The 15,678-nt window shown below is 56.1% G+C and overlaps 1 protein-coding gene across 18 annotated transcripts in view, besides 3 other annotated features; it reads left to right on the plus strand.

Moving 5' to 3' along the window:
- Positions 1–3,503, plus strand: part of ADGRB1 (adhesion G protein-coupled receptor B1) — a 95,359-nt gene extending 91,856 nt beyond the window's left edge. For 9 of the 18 annotated variants that reach the window (XM_047422057.1, XM_017013692.2, XM_047422059.1 and 6 more), the window contains 4 exons: positions 437–1,143; positions 1,899–1,934; positions 2,097–2,204; positions 2,716–3,503. In XM_047422057.1, the coding sequence (XP_047278013.1) occupies positions 437–1,143; positions 1,899–1,934; positions 2,097–2,204; positions 2,716–2,913 (1,049 nt within the window). In that variant the 3' untranslated portion in view covers positions 2,914–3,503. Of the gene's footprint in view, positions 1–436; positions 1,144–1,898; positions 1,935–1,961; positions 2,205–2,712 lie in introns of all 18 variants that reach the window. The other 9 variants (XM_017013695.2, XM_017013691.2, XM_017013696.2 and 6 more) reach the window with 3 other exon arrangements.
- Positions 4,065–4,991: an enhancer, noted in NCBI's record as "H3K4me1 hESC enhancer chr8:143626930-143627856 (GRCh37/hg19 assembly coordinates)". NCBI's record gives its function as "activates a minimal SCP1, AML or CMV promoter by ChIP-STARR-seq in primed H9 embryonic stem cells {active_cell/tissue: H9 hESC(primed)}" and the evidence as "EXISTENCE:reporter gene assay evidence [ECO:0000049][PMID:30033119]".
- Positions 13,318–13,819: an enhancer, noted in NCBI's record as "H3K4me1 hESC enhancer chr8:143636183-143636684 (GRCh37/hg19 assembly coordinates)". NCBI's record gives its function as "activates a minimal SCP1, AML or CMV promoter by ChIP-STARR-seq in primed H9 embryonic stem cells {active_cell/tissue: H9 hESC(primed)}" and the evidence as "EXISTENCE:reporter gene assay evidence [ECO:0000049][PMID:30033119]".
- Positions 13,820–14,319: an enhancer, noted in NCBI's record as "H3K4me1 hESC enhancer chr8:143636685-143637184 (GRCh37/hg19 assembly coordinates)". NCBI's record gives its function as "activates a minimal SCP1, AML or CMV promoter by ChIP-STARR-seq in primed H9 embryonic stem cells {active_cell/tissue: H9 hESC(primed)}" and the evidence as "EXISTENCE:reporter gene assay evidence [ECO:0000049][PMID:30033119]".

Raw genomic sequence — 15,678 nt, forward strand, 5'->3', positions numbered from 1 at the left:
CCCCCCACCCACACAAGGCCCAGGGCCGTGGGCGTCGGGAGCGTTGGAGGGCCGGCTGGGCTCTGCCACCAGCACAGACCGTTCTGCCTGTGTCCCTGTGCTTCCGGGAGTCAAGGCCGCCCTCGCCTGCTCTTCTCAGCGCTGGGGAGGGCAGTGTGTGGGTGACAGCCATTTGTCTTCTTGGGGCCAGTGGAGAGGGCCACCCTGTGTGGCAGCCTCATCTGAGGACACAGGAACCCTAGGGGCCGTAGCGCCAGGCTTGGGTAGGGTGGTACCTGCAGTTGGCCCTCCGATCGGTACCCAGCAGGACCTGGCCAGGGTCTCCCAGGAGGTGGCGGCCTCGCAGGGCAGACTGGGCCCCTCTCCTGCTGGGGACTGTCCTACGCCATCCTCACCCCCACACCTGTCCCCGCTGTCTCCCCCGCGGCCCCTGCAGTGCTGAACAAGGACATCGCGGCCTGCCGCACTGCCACCATCACGGGCACACTGAAGCGGCCGTCTCTGCCCGAGGAGGAGAAGCTGAAGCTGGCCCATGCCAAGGGGCCGCCCACCAATTTCAACAGCCTGCCGGCCAACGTGTCCAAGCTGCACCTGCACGGCTCACCCCGCTATCCCGGCGGGCCCCTGCCCGACTTCCCCAACCACTCACTGACCCTCAAGAGGGACAAGGCGCCCAAGTCCTCCTTCGTCGGTGACGGGGACATCTTCAAGAAGCTGGACTCGGAGCTGAGCCGGGCCCAGGAGAAGGCTCTGGACACGAGCTACGTGATCCTGCCCACGGCCACGGCCACGCTGCGGCCCAAGCCCAAGGAGGAGCCCAAGTACAGCATCCACATTGACCAGATGCCGCAGACCCGCCTCATCCACCTCAGCACGGCCCCCGAGGCCAGCCTCCCCGCCCGCAGCCCGCCCTCCCGCCAGCCCCCCAGCGGCGGGCCCCCCGAGGCACCCCCTGCCCAGCCCCCACCGCCTCCGCCCCCACCGCCACCACCTCCCCAGCAGCCCCTGCCCCCACCGCCCAATCTGGAGCCGGCACCCCCCAGCCTGGGGGATCCCGGGGAGCCTGCCGCCCATCCGGGACCCAGCACGGGGCCCAGCACCAAGAACGAGAATGTCGCCACCTTGTCTGTGAGCTCCCTGGAGGTGAGGGGGGCAGGGGTGGGCCACACCCCAGCCAGCGAGGGCAGGGCTGCAGCAGCTGGGTCACCCCTGCTGGGTGGGACCCCCACGCCGTCAGCGGGGCGGGCTGGCTCTGCCTCCTAGCTACACCCCCCACCCCTGGCCCTGCTGGGTGTGCTGTGTATGTCTGACGTGTGGTCCCCACCCTAGGCTTGGCAGGGTGGTCTCACCCCGTTTCAAAGGGGCTCAGGGACCCACAGTCTGGACCCACGGAGCAGGACCTGCACCTCGCACAGTCGCTAGTCCAGCCCTTGGGGCAGCCTGGCAGCACATACCTGCCTAGGTCAGCCTGGAGCCTGCAGCTGACCCAGCCTCAGTCAGCCTGTAGGATGTTGTTTTTGGGGGAGCCCGTCCCCACAGGATATGCTCCCACCATATCCTGGCTCCTGGCCTCTGGTGATGCTGCCCTGTGTCCCTGAGTTCTCTGTCGGGGGACCCAGCCATGTGGCCCCAAGTTCAGGTCTCCTTGATCCTGGGGAGTGTGTCCCGGGTAGGCGAGCCGGACACCCCAGCCCAGCCTTGGTGCTGCTCGCTGGCACCCAGCGCATAGCTGGAGGAGCTGCCTCAGTGCGCCCCCAGGCATGTCCCCTGGGTCTGGCCTGGTCCCTGAAGGCAGGCATGGGGCGAGTGAGTCCCTGATGCCCTCAGTCTGAGGCAGGGAGAGGCGTGGACTTGTCAGGGACCCTTGGCGAATGTTCGCAAACCCCTTCTCCCTGCAGCGGCGGAAGTCGCGGTATGCAGAACTGGACTTTGAGGTGAGTTCTGGTGTCCCCCCCCACCAGACACTTAGGGCCAGATGTGCTCTGGGCTCCCACACGGCCAGGCAGCTCCCCGGCAGCCAGGGGACGGGCGGGGCAGGCAGGATGGGCCATGCCCTCCTCCTGGCCCAGGACTCACTGCCCAGACCCCGCCTGCAGAAGATCATGCACACCCGGAAGCGGCACCAAGACATGTTCCAGGACCTGAACCGGAAGCTGCAGCACGCAGCGGAGAAGGACAAGGAGGTGCTGGGGCCGGACAGCAAGGTCTGGAGGGCAGGGAGGGGCGGGGTGGGGAGAGCCCTTAGGTCAGGCCACCGTCTCCCTTCTTCCCTGGATTTGTGCACTTCATCCATCCATCCATCCATCCATCCATTCGTTCATTCATTCATTCATTCGCCCATCCCTGAGGGCTGGCCTGACCCTGCCATGCCAGACTCTGGAGGCCATGGCCATACTGGGAGCTGAGCGGTCACGAGCCTGCTCCTGGGGCCAGGGGTCTGGATTGGGGTGGAGCCAATCCAGGGCAGGGTCCCCACAGCCTGACCCGACCGTGGGGTTCGCAACCTCTGCCAAGGCTGGGGAGAGGATCTGTGCCTGCCGCTGCCCAGCTCTGTTCTGGGCTCTTGTCCTGAAAGCCTCATCCTGTCCCCTGTCCCCTGTCCCCCACCTCCCGTCCCTTCCTCACTGATTCGTGTCTGCCTCCTCCCCCCTACTCCTCGGGCTCATGGCTCTCCCTCCGGGCCCCACCCCTCCTGCACCACGGGCCACCCAGCAGCCGGAAAAGCAGCAGACGCCCAACAAGAGGCCCTGGGAGAGCCTCCGGAAAGCCCACGGGACGCCCACGTGGGTGAAGAAGGAGCTGGAGCCGCTGCAGCCGTCGCCGCTGGAGCTTCGCAGCGTGGAGTGGGAGAGGTCGGGCGCCACGATCCCGCTGGTGGGCCAGGACATCATCGACCTCCAGACCGAGGTCTGAGCGGGTGGGCGGCGGCCACGCACTGGGCCACGGAGGAGGGATGCTGCTCCGCCCGCTCCTGCCGCAGACGGGCACAGACACGCTCGCGGGCAGCGGGCCAGGCCCGCACCCCGGCCTCAGGGCGCTCAGACGGCGGCCAGGCACAGGGCCCGCAGTGCTGGGACCAGAGCCAGATGCAGGACAGGAGGCGGCCCGGCCAGCGGGCACAGGGCACCAGAGGCCGAAGGTGCCTCAGACTCCGCCCTCCTCGGGCCGAGGCCCAGCGGGCAGATGGGCGGACGGCTGTGGACCGTGGACAGGCCCAGCGCGGCCAGCGTCCCAGGGTACCCGCCTGAGCTCCTGCTGCGGAGGAGCTGCCTGCTTGGCCCGGCCGGCCTGGCACCGTTTTTTAAACACCCCCATCCCTCGGGAAGCAGCCAGCTCCCCACACCTTCCAGGGCCCTAGGCCCCTCCTAGACCCAGGTGGAGGGCACAGCCCTCCGACCCTCATGGCCCCCAGGGGCAGGACTGAGTCCCCTCCAGGAAGAAGCAGGGGGGAATCTATTTTTTCTCTCCTTTTCTTTTCTTCAATAAAAAGAATTAAAAACCCATCTCCTCTCTGTGTGGCCTCCCTCTGTGCGGCCCGGGGCCCTGACCCAGCCCTGGCTGCTGGGGTGAAGTCCTCTGCCTGGCCTTGGTGTCCCCGCATCCCTGGGCCAGGAGGACTGTGGAGGCCAGGTGGGCCCTGCAGCTCCTGCTTTGCCCTGGGCCTGGACGTCTGGGCCTTGGACTCCCAGGCCAGTGGTCACGTGGCTCCCAAGGCGTCCCCTCTCCCTGGGGCTCTGGGAACATTCAGGGAACCCCAAGTGCTGGTGCCCTTGGCTACCCCCGACCCTTAGTACGTGAGCTTCACACAGCTCTTAGGCCCCTTGGTGGGGACACATTTCACTCCCCTTGTTCCTTGAGTCATTTTCAGGAGGGACAGCATGAACACACCAATTCTTTAAAACAGTCTGACACAGTGGAAATGCGTGTGGGGGCAGGGACTCCAAGGCAGGGAGGAAGCCTCCCTCTCAGCGCTCCCACCTCCTTCCCGCCCACCTGGGGCTCTGCCCTCCTCTGCTCCTGCCTCTGCCCTGGGGCAGGCACAGTTCTGGGTCCCCTCTTCATTGCTGGGGCACTTCCTGTCTCCAGGCCTCGGCCCCGTTTGTCCGGGGAGGCATGGGGAGCCTATGTGAACACCCCTAGGCCATCCCCCACCAGCCCAGAAGGAGGACCCTCCTTCCACACCCTCCTCCCACCCCAGGAGCTTTGAGATGCACGTCCTGCTTCCCTCTGTGTCTCCAGCAGGGGGCAGCCTGAACCCCCGAAGGGAGCCTAGTTGGGGGAAGCCACAAGGCTGGCAGGGACAATAGCGGGGAAGGAGGGGCCCCCCTCCGACTGTGTGCTGCACCCTGCAGGGCCCCAGGACCGGGAGAAAATGCTGCACAGAGCCTGGGCCTGGAGAGCAATGCGCGCCAAGCTGCAGAGGCGGCTACAGCCTAGCACCCCCTCACCCCTACAACCTCAACTGTGCCCTGTCACTCCTGACCCCAGAGTCCTCACCAGCAGACAGGGCGGGACGGGGAAGGTGCTTGGAGGGTGCAGTGACCACAGTGACCATGGGTGATCACAGATGGTCACGTGTGGCCATGACTGACTGCATTGAGTGGGTGGACGTTGAGCAGATGACCGGGAACGGGGTGGTGTGTCTGCAGTAGCCCAGAGGAGATGGTGCAAAGTCACCGGGTTCCAGCAGTTGAGAAGCACAGTCCCTGAGCTGTGGATCTGAGCACCCCAGAAAACCAGAATGTTTTGACGAGATTGGACAACAAAACCTGATGGAAACCGAGTCACACTACATATCTAAAGCTCCTTTGAACCGCTGCACGCACACACACATATGTTCTGCAGCAGGGATGCTGATGCACTTTATTAGGCCCCTCCCAGGATACTAAGTGAAATATCACACACATCACACCTTCTTTCTTAACCCGGACAGATCCCACTTGGCACCAGGGTTTCAGATGAGAGGCTGTGGACTGTGGTCCCTTCCTCATCCTAAGTTACGGAAAGAACCTGGGAGGCCCCTGGGAAGCAGGTGGAGAAAGCGCTGAGCACCCAGCTCCTCCCCTGCAGAAGGCAGCACAGAGCCTGGGGCAGGTTCTGGAGGTGGGGCTTCCACTCAGGTCACCCCGTCCTTGTGGAGTGGCCAGAACAAGTTTTTGGCCAGCTCCCTGACCTCCTGGCCCCATGTTCACACCCAATAACAGGAGAAGCTGCAACAAAACAAAACAACAAATAACAAGAAAGGACCCAAGCCACACAACCCTGCCTGCGAAGGAAGCAACTCAGGTCAGCGTGAGCCGCTGGGGTCAGACGCACAGAGTGACCAGGGGCAGGAGCAACTCAGGACAGTGTGAGCCGCTGGGGTCAGACACACAGAGTGACCAGGGGCAGGGCTCAGTGTGTGGCCAGGGTCAGGGCTTACAGTGTGACCAGGTCAGAGATTAGCCTGTGACCAGAATAAGGGTTCAGCCTGTGGCCGGAATCAGGGCTCAGAGTGGCCAAGGTCAGGGCTCAACGTGTGATCAGGGGCAGGGCTCAGTGTCCCCATGGTGAAGACTAAGTCTCAGCCAGAGTCCCGTTTCTCCTTCACTGTGGTCCACCCCTCCCAGAAGGCCATGTCTGTGCCAGGAGAGGCTATATCCCATGTCCTGCCCGACCCCAATGTTCACAGCTGTTCAATACTCTGTGACCTCTCACAATGATGCATCACAGAAATTGCTCTCTTCCCTCTGTCTCTCGGAGCAGGAAGCTGGCCAGGGATCATCCCAGGAGATTCATCAACCCTGGAGCCCTGCTTGCGTCTGCCCCAGGCACCTTCTTGTCGTGAGCCCTGTGCTGGGCAGTGCTTTGGGCCAGAGGCCACGGAGATGCTCCAAGCTGGAACAGGCGCCTCTTCCCAAACTTCTGCTGCTTTCCCTCTGCTTCATCCAGCTGCTCGGAGTGATGGGCCCTTGACACTGAGCAAGGCAGGGACCACGATTCTGTCTGTAGGTGAGGACACGCAGACTCCGGGTGGCTGGTGTCCCACAGGCATTGAGAGCGAGGCTGTACCCACAACCCAGCTCCCCCACCTTGAATTCCCTGACCCTCCCCACAATGGGTTGCTTTCCTGTGGACACCAGTGTCATGTCCATCTGCCACTGCCTCCACCCGAAGCTACTTCTTTCCTGTGGAGTCCAGGGCTGAACAGTTTGCCAGAAAGATCTTCAGGGGCCTTGTGTTTACTCTATTGTCTTGGCTTCCTTGTATAAGTGCCACTCTCCTCAGCAACTTGTCACTGGTGAAGCTGAGACCACCTCCTCTGACACCCTCCATCTGTCACCATCAGCGGCACCTGCCCTAGGGAGAACTGCAGGGCTGAGAATGGTGGAGGCACTGTGATTGGCAGGAGCACTGTGGGGGCCAAAGGTGGTGGTGACAGTTTCGTGGACAGATCTGGGGCTGCAGATATTGGTGGTTGTGATGATGGTGATGATAATGATGGTGACAGTAGTGCTGATGGTGATAATGGTGGTGATGGTTGCGACGGTGATAGTGGTAATGATGGTGATGATGGTGATGATGGTGGTGATAATGATGATGATGGTGGTGATGGTGATGGTGCTGGAGAGTGATTTTGGGTGCTGGTGATGCCCAAGACAGCAGCCACCACAATATCTGTTGTAATGATGGTGCTTATAGGCTTGGAGATTATTATCTTGCCAGCTTACTCTGTTCCTCACTCATAAACTGGGAGCGTCTGGAGGATGGATGGGTGGATAGATGGAAGGATGGATGGGTGGAAGGATGGATGGGTGGATAGATGGAAGGATGGATGGGTGGAAGGGTGGATGGGTGGATAGATGGATAGATGGATGGATGAATGGATGGATGAATGGGGGATGGATGGATAGTGATGAATGGATGGATAGATGGACATGTGGATGGATGAATGGGTAGATGAATGGATGGGTGGATGAGTGGGTGGATGGATGGGGGATGGATGGATGGTGGATGGATGAATGGTGGATGGATGGATGGTGGATGGATGGGGGATGGATGGGGGATGGATGGGTAGATGGAAGAAAGGATACATAAGGACAATGACTACAGTCTCTGAGTCACCTGGAGGTGGAGCAGACAGGAGTGGCAGCCACCCAGGCGCTGTGCGTCTCGTCAGCACCCACACTCCTGAGATGTGGAGGAAGCTCCTTCGCACCTAACTCCTATCTGCTCATTCCCCTTCCTGTCGCCGACACAAACAATGCCAGAAGGGGAAGGAAGCCTAAGAAGGTTCCCCCACCCCCTGCACCAAGTGGCTTTGTCTCTAGGCAGGCCAGAGGCTCTTTCTGGCAAGGCCCTTCACAACCACCTCTCTCACCCCACTTCCCTGGCCCCAATCCAGCAGTAATAGAGCTTGCTGTCAGGAAGTCCTTCCGTGAGTCGAACCTGCATGCCTTAGGCTGCAACGTGAGGGCCCCTGTTCCCCTCAGCAGACTCTGCTCTTCGGTTCTCCCTCTTCCCCTTCTCCATCCTGACTGACCACCCCCACCACCGACCACCACCACTGTCTGGGCTGCATCATGACCATTTAGTGGGGCCATCCTCTAACCTCTCTTGGTCTCATTCGGCATGAAGGCCTGACCCTCCCGCTGGGCCCACCCACCTCCCCAGGCCCTGCTTCCCAGAGGGCTCAACTCCAGAGGAGCAATTGCATAGTGTGCGTCCTACTCCAGAATTTATTCCAAAACCTTCCATTAGCCAGGAGTTCCCTTTTCAGCCCTGCTGCCCTGACCCCCAGCTCCCTGTGATCTGTCCTGAGACTGGAAGCAGGGGAGGCATCTGCGTGGGGGTGCAGGGCCTGGAGAGGCCTCGGCCTGGAGCGGGAGTGCAGGGCCTGGAGGGGGAGGGCAGGGCCTGGAGGGGGAGTGCAGGGCCTGGAGAGGCCTGGGCCTGTGTCTGGAGTGCAGGGCCTGGAGGGCCCCTGGCAGGGGGTTCTGAAGTGCCCTGAGGTGACAGAGCAGCTGGTATCTCACCCAGGCACTGCCCGCACCCCTCCAGCTGCTCACCGCCTGGGAGGTGAGCAGGATCAGGAGGGACCAGGCAGCCTCTTCTGACCGGCGCCGTCTCCCCAGCCCTGCTAGAGCCCCACAAGCTTCTTGGCTCTGAGGCATTGTCCTGGGGAGGGCCGAGCACCTCCCTGGAGGCCCAGACCTGGGAGTGCATAAGTGGGAGGGGCCAGTGGGCTTCCACCACAGCCCTGCTCTGCAGCCTGCTCCCTGTGGCCCCGGGGGGCTCTCAGACCCCTGCAGTGATAGTACAGTCCCCTCTGAAGACCCCAAGCAGCACACCTCTGCCCACCCGGTATCCTGTGTCTCTGGCCGGCTCAGCTCAGAGCAGCCCCTGAAGGGACCGGCAGACAGGTGAGACTCCTCCCAGGGTGCCCGGCCACCCAGGCCCACTCCTGGCCCTGCCTCAGACCCTCCCCGTCTGGGCCTCAGTTTCCCCACAGGTGCCAGCTGAGAGCCCTTCCAGGGCCAGCAGTCTGTGACTTGGCGCTTCTCAAGGTGTCGGAAGCAGCGGGCTCTGGAGTATCTTGTCAGGTCCTAAAAATAATCGGGAGGGAGGAACATCTCCGAATAGCTGGTGAACGTGCGAGCCGCCCACCCCACGCACAGCGGAAACTCCTCCAAATAAGGCCTTGGCAGAACCGGAAGCCTGAACCATCACCACGCACGTCAGCTGTGTTCCAGAACCTTCCCTCCCAGGGCCACAGGGTCTCCCCCAGAGGGCCGGCGGCCGGATCAGAGGCCTGGGCAGCCTGGCTCATTCTAGACACCCGGAGCCCACTGAGAGATGGCAGCCCTTCCCATTAGAGTCCTGAAATTTATAATTACGGAATCAAAGCATTTCCTAGCCTAGAAACTTGTATTTAAACGTACGGAATCTTAGAATAATCAAATTCAGACCCTTCCCCCAAGTCGCAGAGGACATTGGCTCCAAAGGGCAGTGCCCCTGCCTGGCTCCCGGGAGAAGCAGGACCCCACCTGGGGCTGGGGGGCAGCATGGTAGCCTCCAGACCAGCCTCTGGAGAAATGGGGGATGGCTCCCAGCTGTCCTAGGAAGGCAGAGGAGGTGTCGCTGGGCTCAGTATGGCTCTCTGGGAACACCATATGGACCCTGCCCAGGAAGGGGAGGTGGGGGGAGGAAGGAGGCAACACCCCCATCAGCAACCTCCTCGGCCTCTCCCAGGGGTTCCGGGTTGGGCGTGGCCCCTCCTGCCTTGCAGTGTGCACAGGGGTGGGGTGCTCCTTCTCTTCCCACCCCCCACCTCTCCTCCGTGTCCTTCCTGATCTTTCCCTGACCCTGCTAAGCTGAGGGACCCCCTGCCCCTAGAGGGGAAGCTTCTCATGGACTTTGCCCAGTTCCTCCACCGGGCCACGCTTAACCTCCCAGAAGGACAAGGGTGTGCCTTGGGAACCAGGGCAGGGAAGAGGAGGGAGGGGACAGGTCTGGAGGGGCTGCTTTATTGGAGGAGAGGGATGGGCACAGTCTGGTGACAGGACCTTGAGGGTAGGCAGGGAGGGTGCAGGGCAAGGACTGGACCTCCCACTCTTGATGGCTTCCCGGAAGAGGGGACCTGGCTGAGCCTGGAGGTGGTGGAGGCGGGTGGTAGTCGGCACCCATGTAGGGCCAGCCTTGAAGGATGCTGATGTCACCAGTGGCCGCTGAGCCAAGGCTGGTGGCTTGGGCGGCATGGGCCAGGGCTTGTACCCCTTGGAGGTTTAGGAAGTTCAGGCTCTCAGCCAGAGCCCGCCCCCTGCTGGCTTGGAGAGAAGGGCTCAGCGCTCAGGCCCCACCCCGGGGCTGCTGTGGGGGATTTCTTTCTGGGCCAACCCCAGGTCACTAACAGGTCACTAAGATGTGATGTGGCCAGGGTCACACAGCTGGGGCCTGGACCACTGCTTGGCCAACCCTAGAAGAGTCCCAGTCCGCGCCCCCACCCAACTGTTGCCATCCTCCAGGCAGTCTGTGCCTGTAGCTGCCAGAAGCACTCCTGGCCCCAAACCTCAGTGGTGCCTCCCTCTTCACTGTCCTGGCCTCGCCTCACCCCTGCCTCTGAGTCTCTCCAAAGCCACGTGCCTTATAGCAGGCTTTGGCGGGGGGCAGGCAGTTTCCTGCAGTACAGGGGTTCCCCCGAACCTGGTATGCACACCAGGTATGCTCAGAGGAGGCTCTTATCAGCATCTGACAGCTGAGAAGTCTGAGAGGGGCCCTGGGGAAAGAGGCCACAGAGTGTTCTGGGAAGGGGCCACCTGCCCCTGCCTCCAGGTGCGTACCTGCAATGCACCAGGAACAGGCAGCCATTGGAGGAGAGGTGGGCAGATTAAGCCGAGCAGGCCTGGCAAGGAGAGGTGAGGTGGAGGCCAGGCCATGGGTCCAGGCTGAGGAACAGCAGTCATGTGCAGAGGGCAGTGGCTGTTCACATCTCACGGGTCCTGTTGGTCTCCGTGGCCCACGGGTCTCTATGCAACACCTCCCAGGTGTGTGCCAGGCTTGCAGAGATGATGCTGGTGGCTCAAGGACTCCTAGTAGAAGCTCCCAGAGAAGGGACCTCAGTGTAGACCTCAGTGCAGACCAGAGAAAGCACAGAATGACGTGTGCCCTTACCCATGGCACTGATGACGGGGATGAGGGACAGTGATGCAGGCCTTTGTAACCACCACCCAGCACAGAAGAGGAAACTGAGGCACAGAGAGAGTAGGTGACTTGCCCAGTCACAGAGCTAAACCAGTGGTGGGATTCGAGCCCAGGCATCCAGGCTGTCGTGGTGGTGTACTTAGGCGTCATCATCATTCGAGATTTACTTCACCAGGTTTAAGGATTATGACCCATGACACAGCCTCAGGAGGGCCTGAGGACCTGCGCCCAAAGTCGTTGGGGTACAGCTTGATTTTATACATTTTAGGGAGACTTAAGACATCAATCAATACACATGACGTATATATTTGTTCTAGAAAGGTGGGACATCCTGAAACAGAAGCTTCCAGGTCATAGGTGGATTTAAAGATTTTCTGATTCACAATTGGTTGGAAGAGTTATTATCTAAAGACCTGGAATCAATAGAAAGGGTGTTTAAGTTAAGATAAGAGTTTGTGGAGACCAAAGTTAGCATGTAGTTGAAGTCTCATAGGTGGCCACCCTTAGAGGCAGTAGATGGCAAATGTTTGCTATTCAACCTTTAAAAGATGTTAGGCTAGACTCTCAGCTAATCTCTTCAAGGTCAGAAAAAGACCTGGAAAGGGAGGAGGATTCTCTACAGAATGTAAATTTCCGCCACAAGAGACAGCCTTGCAGGGGCATTTCAAAATATGTCAAAGAAATATACTTTGGGGTAAAATCCTTTGATTTCTTTCAGAGCCTACTGTTATGCTATGCTATGCTGGAGTCAGGTTCGAATTTGCTGTTATTTCTACAAAGAGTCTGTTCGGTCTGTCTTAAGATTTCTGTTTAATGTTAATGCTGATCAGTTTTGTGCCTGAATTCCCAAGAGAGGAGAGTGTAATGAGGCATGTCTGATCCCTCCTTCTCATCACAACCTGAACTTGTTATTTTTAGGTTTCTTTGGAATCCCCTTGGCCAAGAAGGGGGTCCATTTGGTCAGTTGGAGGACTTAGAATTTTATTTTTGGTCTACACTGGGCACCTGTGCATGACGTATTTGTAATGATGGAGTATTATCACGGAAAAAATAGAGCAATTTCCATTTCCAAAAACAAAACAAGAAGGAAGACCCCATGTTGATGTATTAATTATCTGGGCCTGGACTATTCTAAGTGCTGGTCAAATAAATTTTAAGGGTAGGCCAGGCCCTGACACAGATCTCAGGTGGGAGGCACCTACAGCATCTTCAAAGCTGCACTGGCTCTATATGCCCCACCTCTCTCATTCTCCCAGAGCTCACAGTGGAGAAGTTGTGCTCTCTGCTTCTGCTGGGTCCGGCACCTCCAGCCCCAGCCTGCCTCCCTCCCAATCAGCTCCTCATAAGGTCTTTTACACCAGGCCTTTCCCTCCCTCCACACTCTCCAGCCTTTCTCCTTAAGAGTCCTTCTTGTCAGCAACTAACTACGGAGCTATTCAGGCTTTTTATTTCTTCTTGACTCACTTCTAGTGCATTGTGCTTTTCTGAAATCCAACTATTTCAACTAAGTTTTCAAATGTATTGGAATCACATTGCTCCTAACATTCTTTTATTTCTGATGTGTCTGCAGTCAGGTCCCCTTTGTCACCCCTAACACTGAATTGTGGCTTCTCTCTTTATGTTATTCAACTTGCTTATTTAATCATTCACTTCAAAGAACAAACTTTTGCCTTTGTGGTTCCCCTGTGTTATGCCCCCCGCTTCACTCATTCCTGCTCCTATCTTTATAACCTCCTTCCTTCTTCTTTGTGTTTATGAGGAATGAAAAAACTTTTTATGCTGAAAGCTGAACACATTCATTTTTAGCCTTCGTTATTGTCTAATATAAGCATTTTAGGCTACAAATTTCCCTCAAAGGGTTACTTTAGCTCCACCCTGAAAGTTTCTGTGTGTATTATTTTCATTACCATTCAGTTGTATTGGTTTTTAAATTTCCATTATGATTGTTTTATGGATATATGTTGTTTTATATGTGTTTTTAAAGTTCCAAACCATGAGATTTAAGAAATCTTTTTGTGATTTCTAATTATGTTGTCATAAAATGTAATCTATATGTGAATTGCTTTGTTGCATAGTATGTGACTAATTTTTATAAATATTTCACACCTCTTTTACAATTGCTGAGTGCGTAGTTATTTATATGTTAGTTAAACCAAGCTGGTCAATTCTATTGCTCAAATCCTCTGTACCCTTGCTGATGCAGGGCAGGTGAGCCCCTAAAAGTGGGGCTTAGCCTGGAGGGTTCTTGGCTTTGTTCAACAAAAAATTTGAAGGCGAGCCAGTGGTGTTCGAAGCACCTTTGATTGAAGTGGTGTGGGCAGCCGCAGCAGAGGGACTGCTCCTTGCAGAGCAGGGCTACCCCATAGGCAGTGAGCCCAGGGAAGCAGCTCAGAGGCACTTCCGCAGTCATAGTTATACCCACTTTTAATCGTATGCAAATTAAGGGGCAGATTATGCAGCAATTTCAAGAAAAAGAGTGGTAAATTCCACTGCCATGGAAAGGGGTACTAACTTCTGGTGTTGCCATGGCAATGGTAAACCAACAGGCACACTGGTGGGCATGTATTCTGGAAAGGTCTTTCTACCCTGCCCCATTTTAGCTAGTCCTCAATTCAGTCCTGTGTCTGAGCCCCACCTCCAGAGTTGAGTCCTGCTTCCTACCTCATTGTGATATTGTGAAATATATATTTAATCTTCACCCCTATTTCCTGACATACAGCTCCTGAAACTCTTGGAATCTTCAGAGTGACAAGTGCTTCTTTTGTATGTTAATGAGATGACTGATGTCCCTGAAACAGCTTCAAGATGGGGCTGGTCACTGGAAAGACCAAGGCAGCATCAGAGGGTTGGGACTTTCAGCCCCACCTCCCACCTCTGGGCAGGGGAGAGAGGCTGAAGGTTGATCACCAATGGCTAATGATGTAATCAATCATGCATTCCTAATAAAGCTTCCATAAAACCCCAAAAGGACACAGTTTGGGGAGCCCCCAGATAGCTGAACACACGCAGGTGCCTGGAGGTGGTGCTGGGAGGGCCTGGGAGCTCCGCGCCCCTCCCCGTGCCTGCCCACACGTCTCCCCCACCTGCTGTGCATCCGCACCTTCGTCACAGCCTGTGTCATAAATGGGTAGACGCGGCTCAGTGTGTCCCTGAGTTCTGTGAGCCGCTCCAGCAAGTCATCAGACCCAAGGAGAGGGTCGTGGGAACCCTGATTCCCACGGTGCTAGTCAGAAGCACTAGCATTGGAAGTGGGGTCGTTGTGTGGGACTGAGCCCTCGACTTGCGGGATCTGACGCGACCTCGAGATGGATGGCGTCGGGATTGAATTGAGGATACCCAGCAGTGTCCACTGCAGTCGCTCAGTGTGTGGGGAAGCGACCCCGTGGCTGGTCACACAAGTATCTTGTGCTGTATTTGAGTATGTGAGAGGGAGGAAGAGAAGCACTTCAGTTCGGATTTCTTGTCTCCTTTAACTTTCAATTATTTTGAATCTGCTGGACCTGTCAAGAATTGGAAAGAAGTATTGAAATTTCCCACTATGATAGTAGATTGTTTCTTTTTTCTTTGTAATTCTACCAAATTTTGCTTAGTATGTTTTGAGGAATATGAGTTCAGAATTATTATATGTTCCTGGAGATTTGAATTTTTGTCATTTTGAAGTAACCATCTCTCTATATAATAATGTTTTTTTCTTTTGGCTTAAAGTCTATCTCATTTGATATTAATATAAATACCCTCATCGTCCTTTGTTAAATAACATTTTTGTGGGTTTATTCTCAAATTTTAGGTATGTCTCATGTAAGGGCATAGAACTGGACTTTTAAAATCCAATCAGAGAATCTGGCTTTTAATTTTTTATTCCTATTTTTGGGTGATGGTTGCTGTATTTGGATCTGGTACTCTGTCTTAGTGCCGCATTAATGTCTTGTTTTTACTCTAATTTAAAAAAAATCTCAATTCTCAGCTGGGCATGGTGGCTCAGACCTGTAATCTCAGCACTTTGGGAGCCTGAGGTGGGAGGGTTGCTTGAGGCCAGGAGTGTGAGACCAGATGGGGCAACATAGTGAGATCCTGTCTCTCAAAAAAAAAAAAAAACAACAACAACAACAAAAAAAAGAACCACAAAACTCCTTTTCTGATTTTTCGAAGGGACTGCATTTTTAAAGTATTTCTTTCTTTATTTTAGAGGCAGGATGTCACTCTGTCACCCAGGCTGAGCTCAGTGGCACAATCATATCTCACTGCAGCCTCAAACTCCTGGGCTCAAGTGATCCTCCTGCCCCTGCCTCCTGAGTAGCTGGGACTACAGGCGGGCACCACCACACCTGGATAATTTATTTGTTTGTTTATTTGTTAGCAGAGATGGGGTCTCACTATGTTGTCCAGGCTGGTCTTGAGCTCCTGGGTTCAAGTGATCCTCCTGCCTTGGCCTCCCAACGTGCTGGGATTACAGGCGTGAGCCACCATGCCTGACCTAAAGTATTGATTTTTAATGCAGTTTTACCTCTTATTCATATGGAAATCTTACAGATTCTTTCTATTCCTTTTCAGCTTACCTTTGAAATTATAACCATTATTTAACTGGTTCTAAAATGCATCAGTCTATGAACTCTCTTTCAAACGGTACAAGGACCTCAGAAGACTTTACTCATTCTCGTTGGGCTTCCATGGTAGCTTTGTCTATCATTTGAGCTCTGTATGTACAACGCTATGAATGAGACAGGATTATCCTCATCAGTAGACAGCCCTGGTTATATGGACTTATATGTTTAGCCATTCCTTTGTCACCATTCCTTCTAAGATGTCATGCTCTCCTTCTTCCCGGAGCACAGGCTTTCCAAGTCCTGCTGGCAAACACCTGTTGACTGTAACTCTGTTGTCCGTGTGGAGAAGGCCAAATTAATCCCACTCATTGCCTGGCATCATGCTGGCCCATGGGAAGCCCCGTTCTTGCTTATTTATGCTCTTGAATCTCCATAATCCGCCCCCCAACCGATA

The sequence above is a fragment of the Homo sapiens genome, chromosome 8 (genome assembly GCF_000001405.40).
Source record: "Homo sapiens chromosome 8, GRCh38.p14 Primary Assembly".
In the NCBI taxonomy this organism is placed as follows: domain Eukaryota; kingdom Metazoa; phylum Chordata; class Mammalia; order Primates; family Hominidae; genus Homo; species Homo sapiens.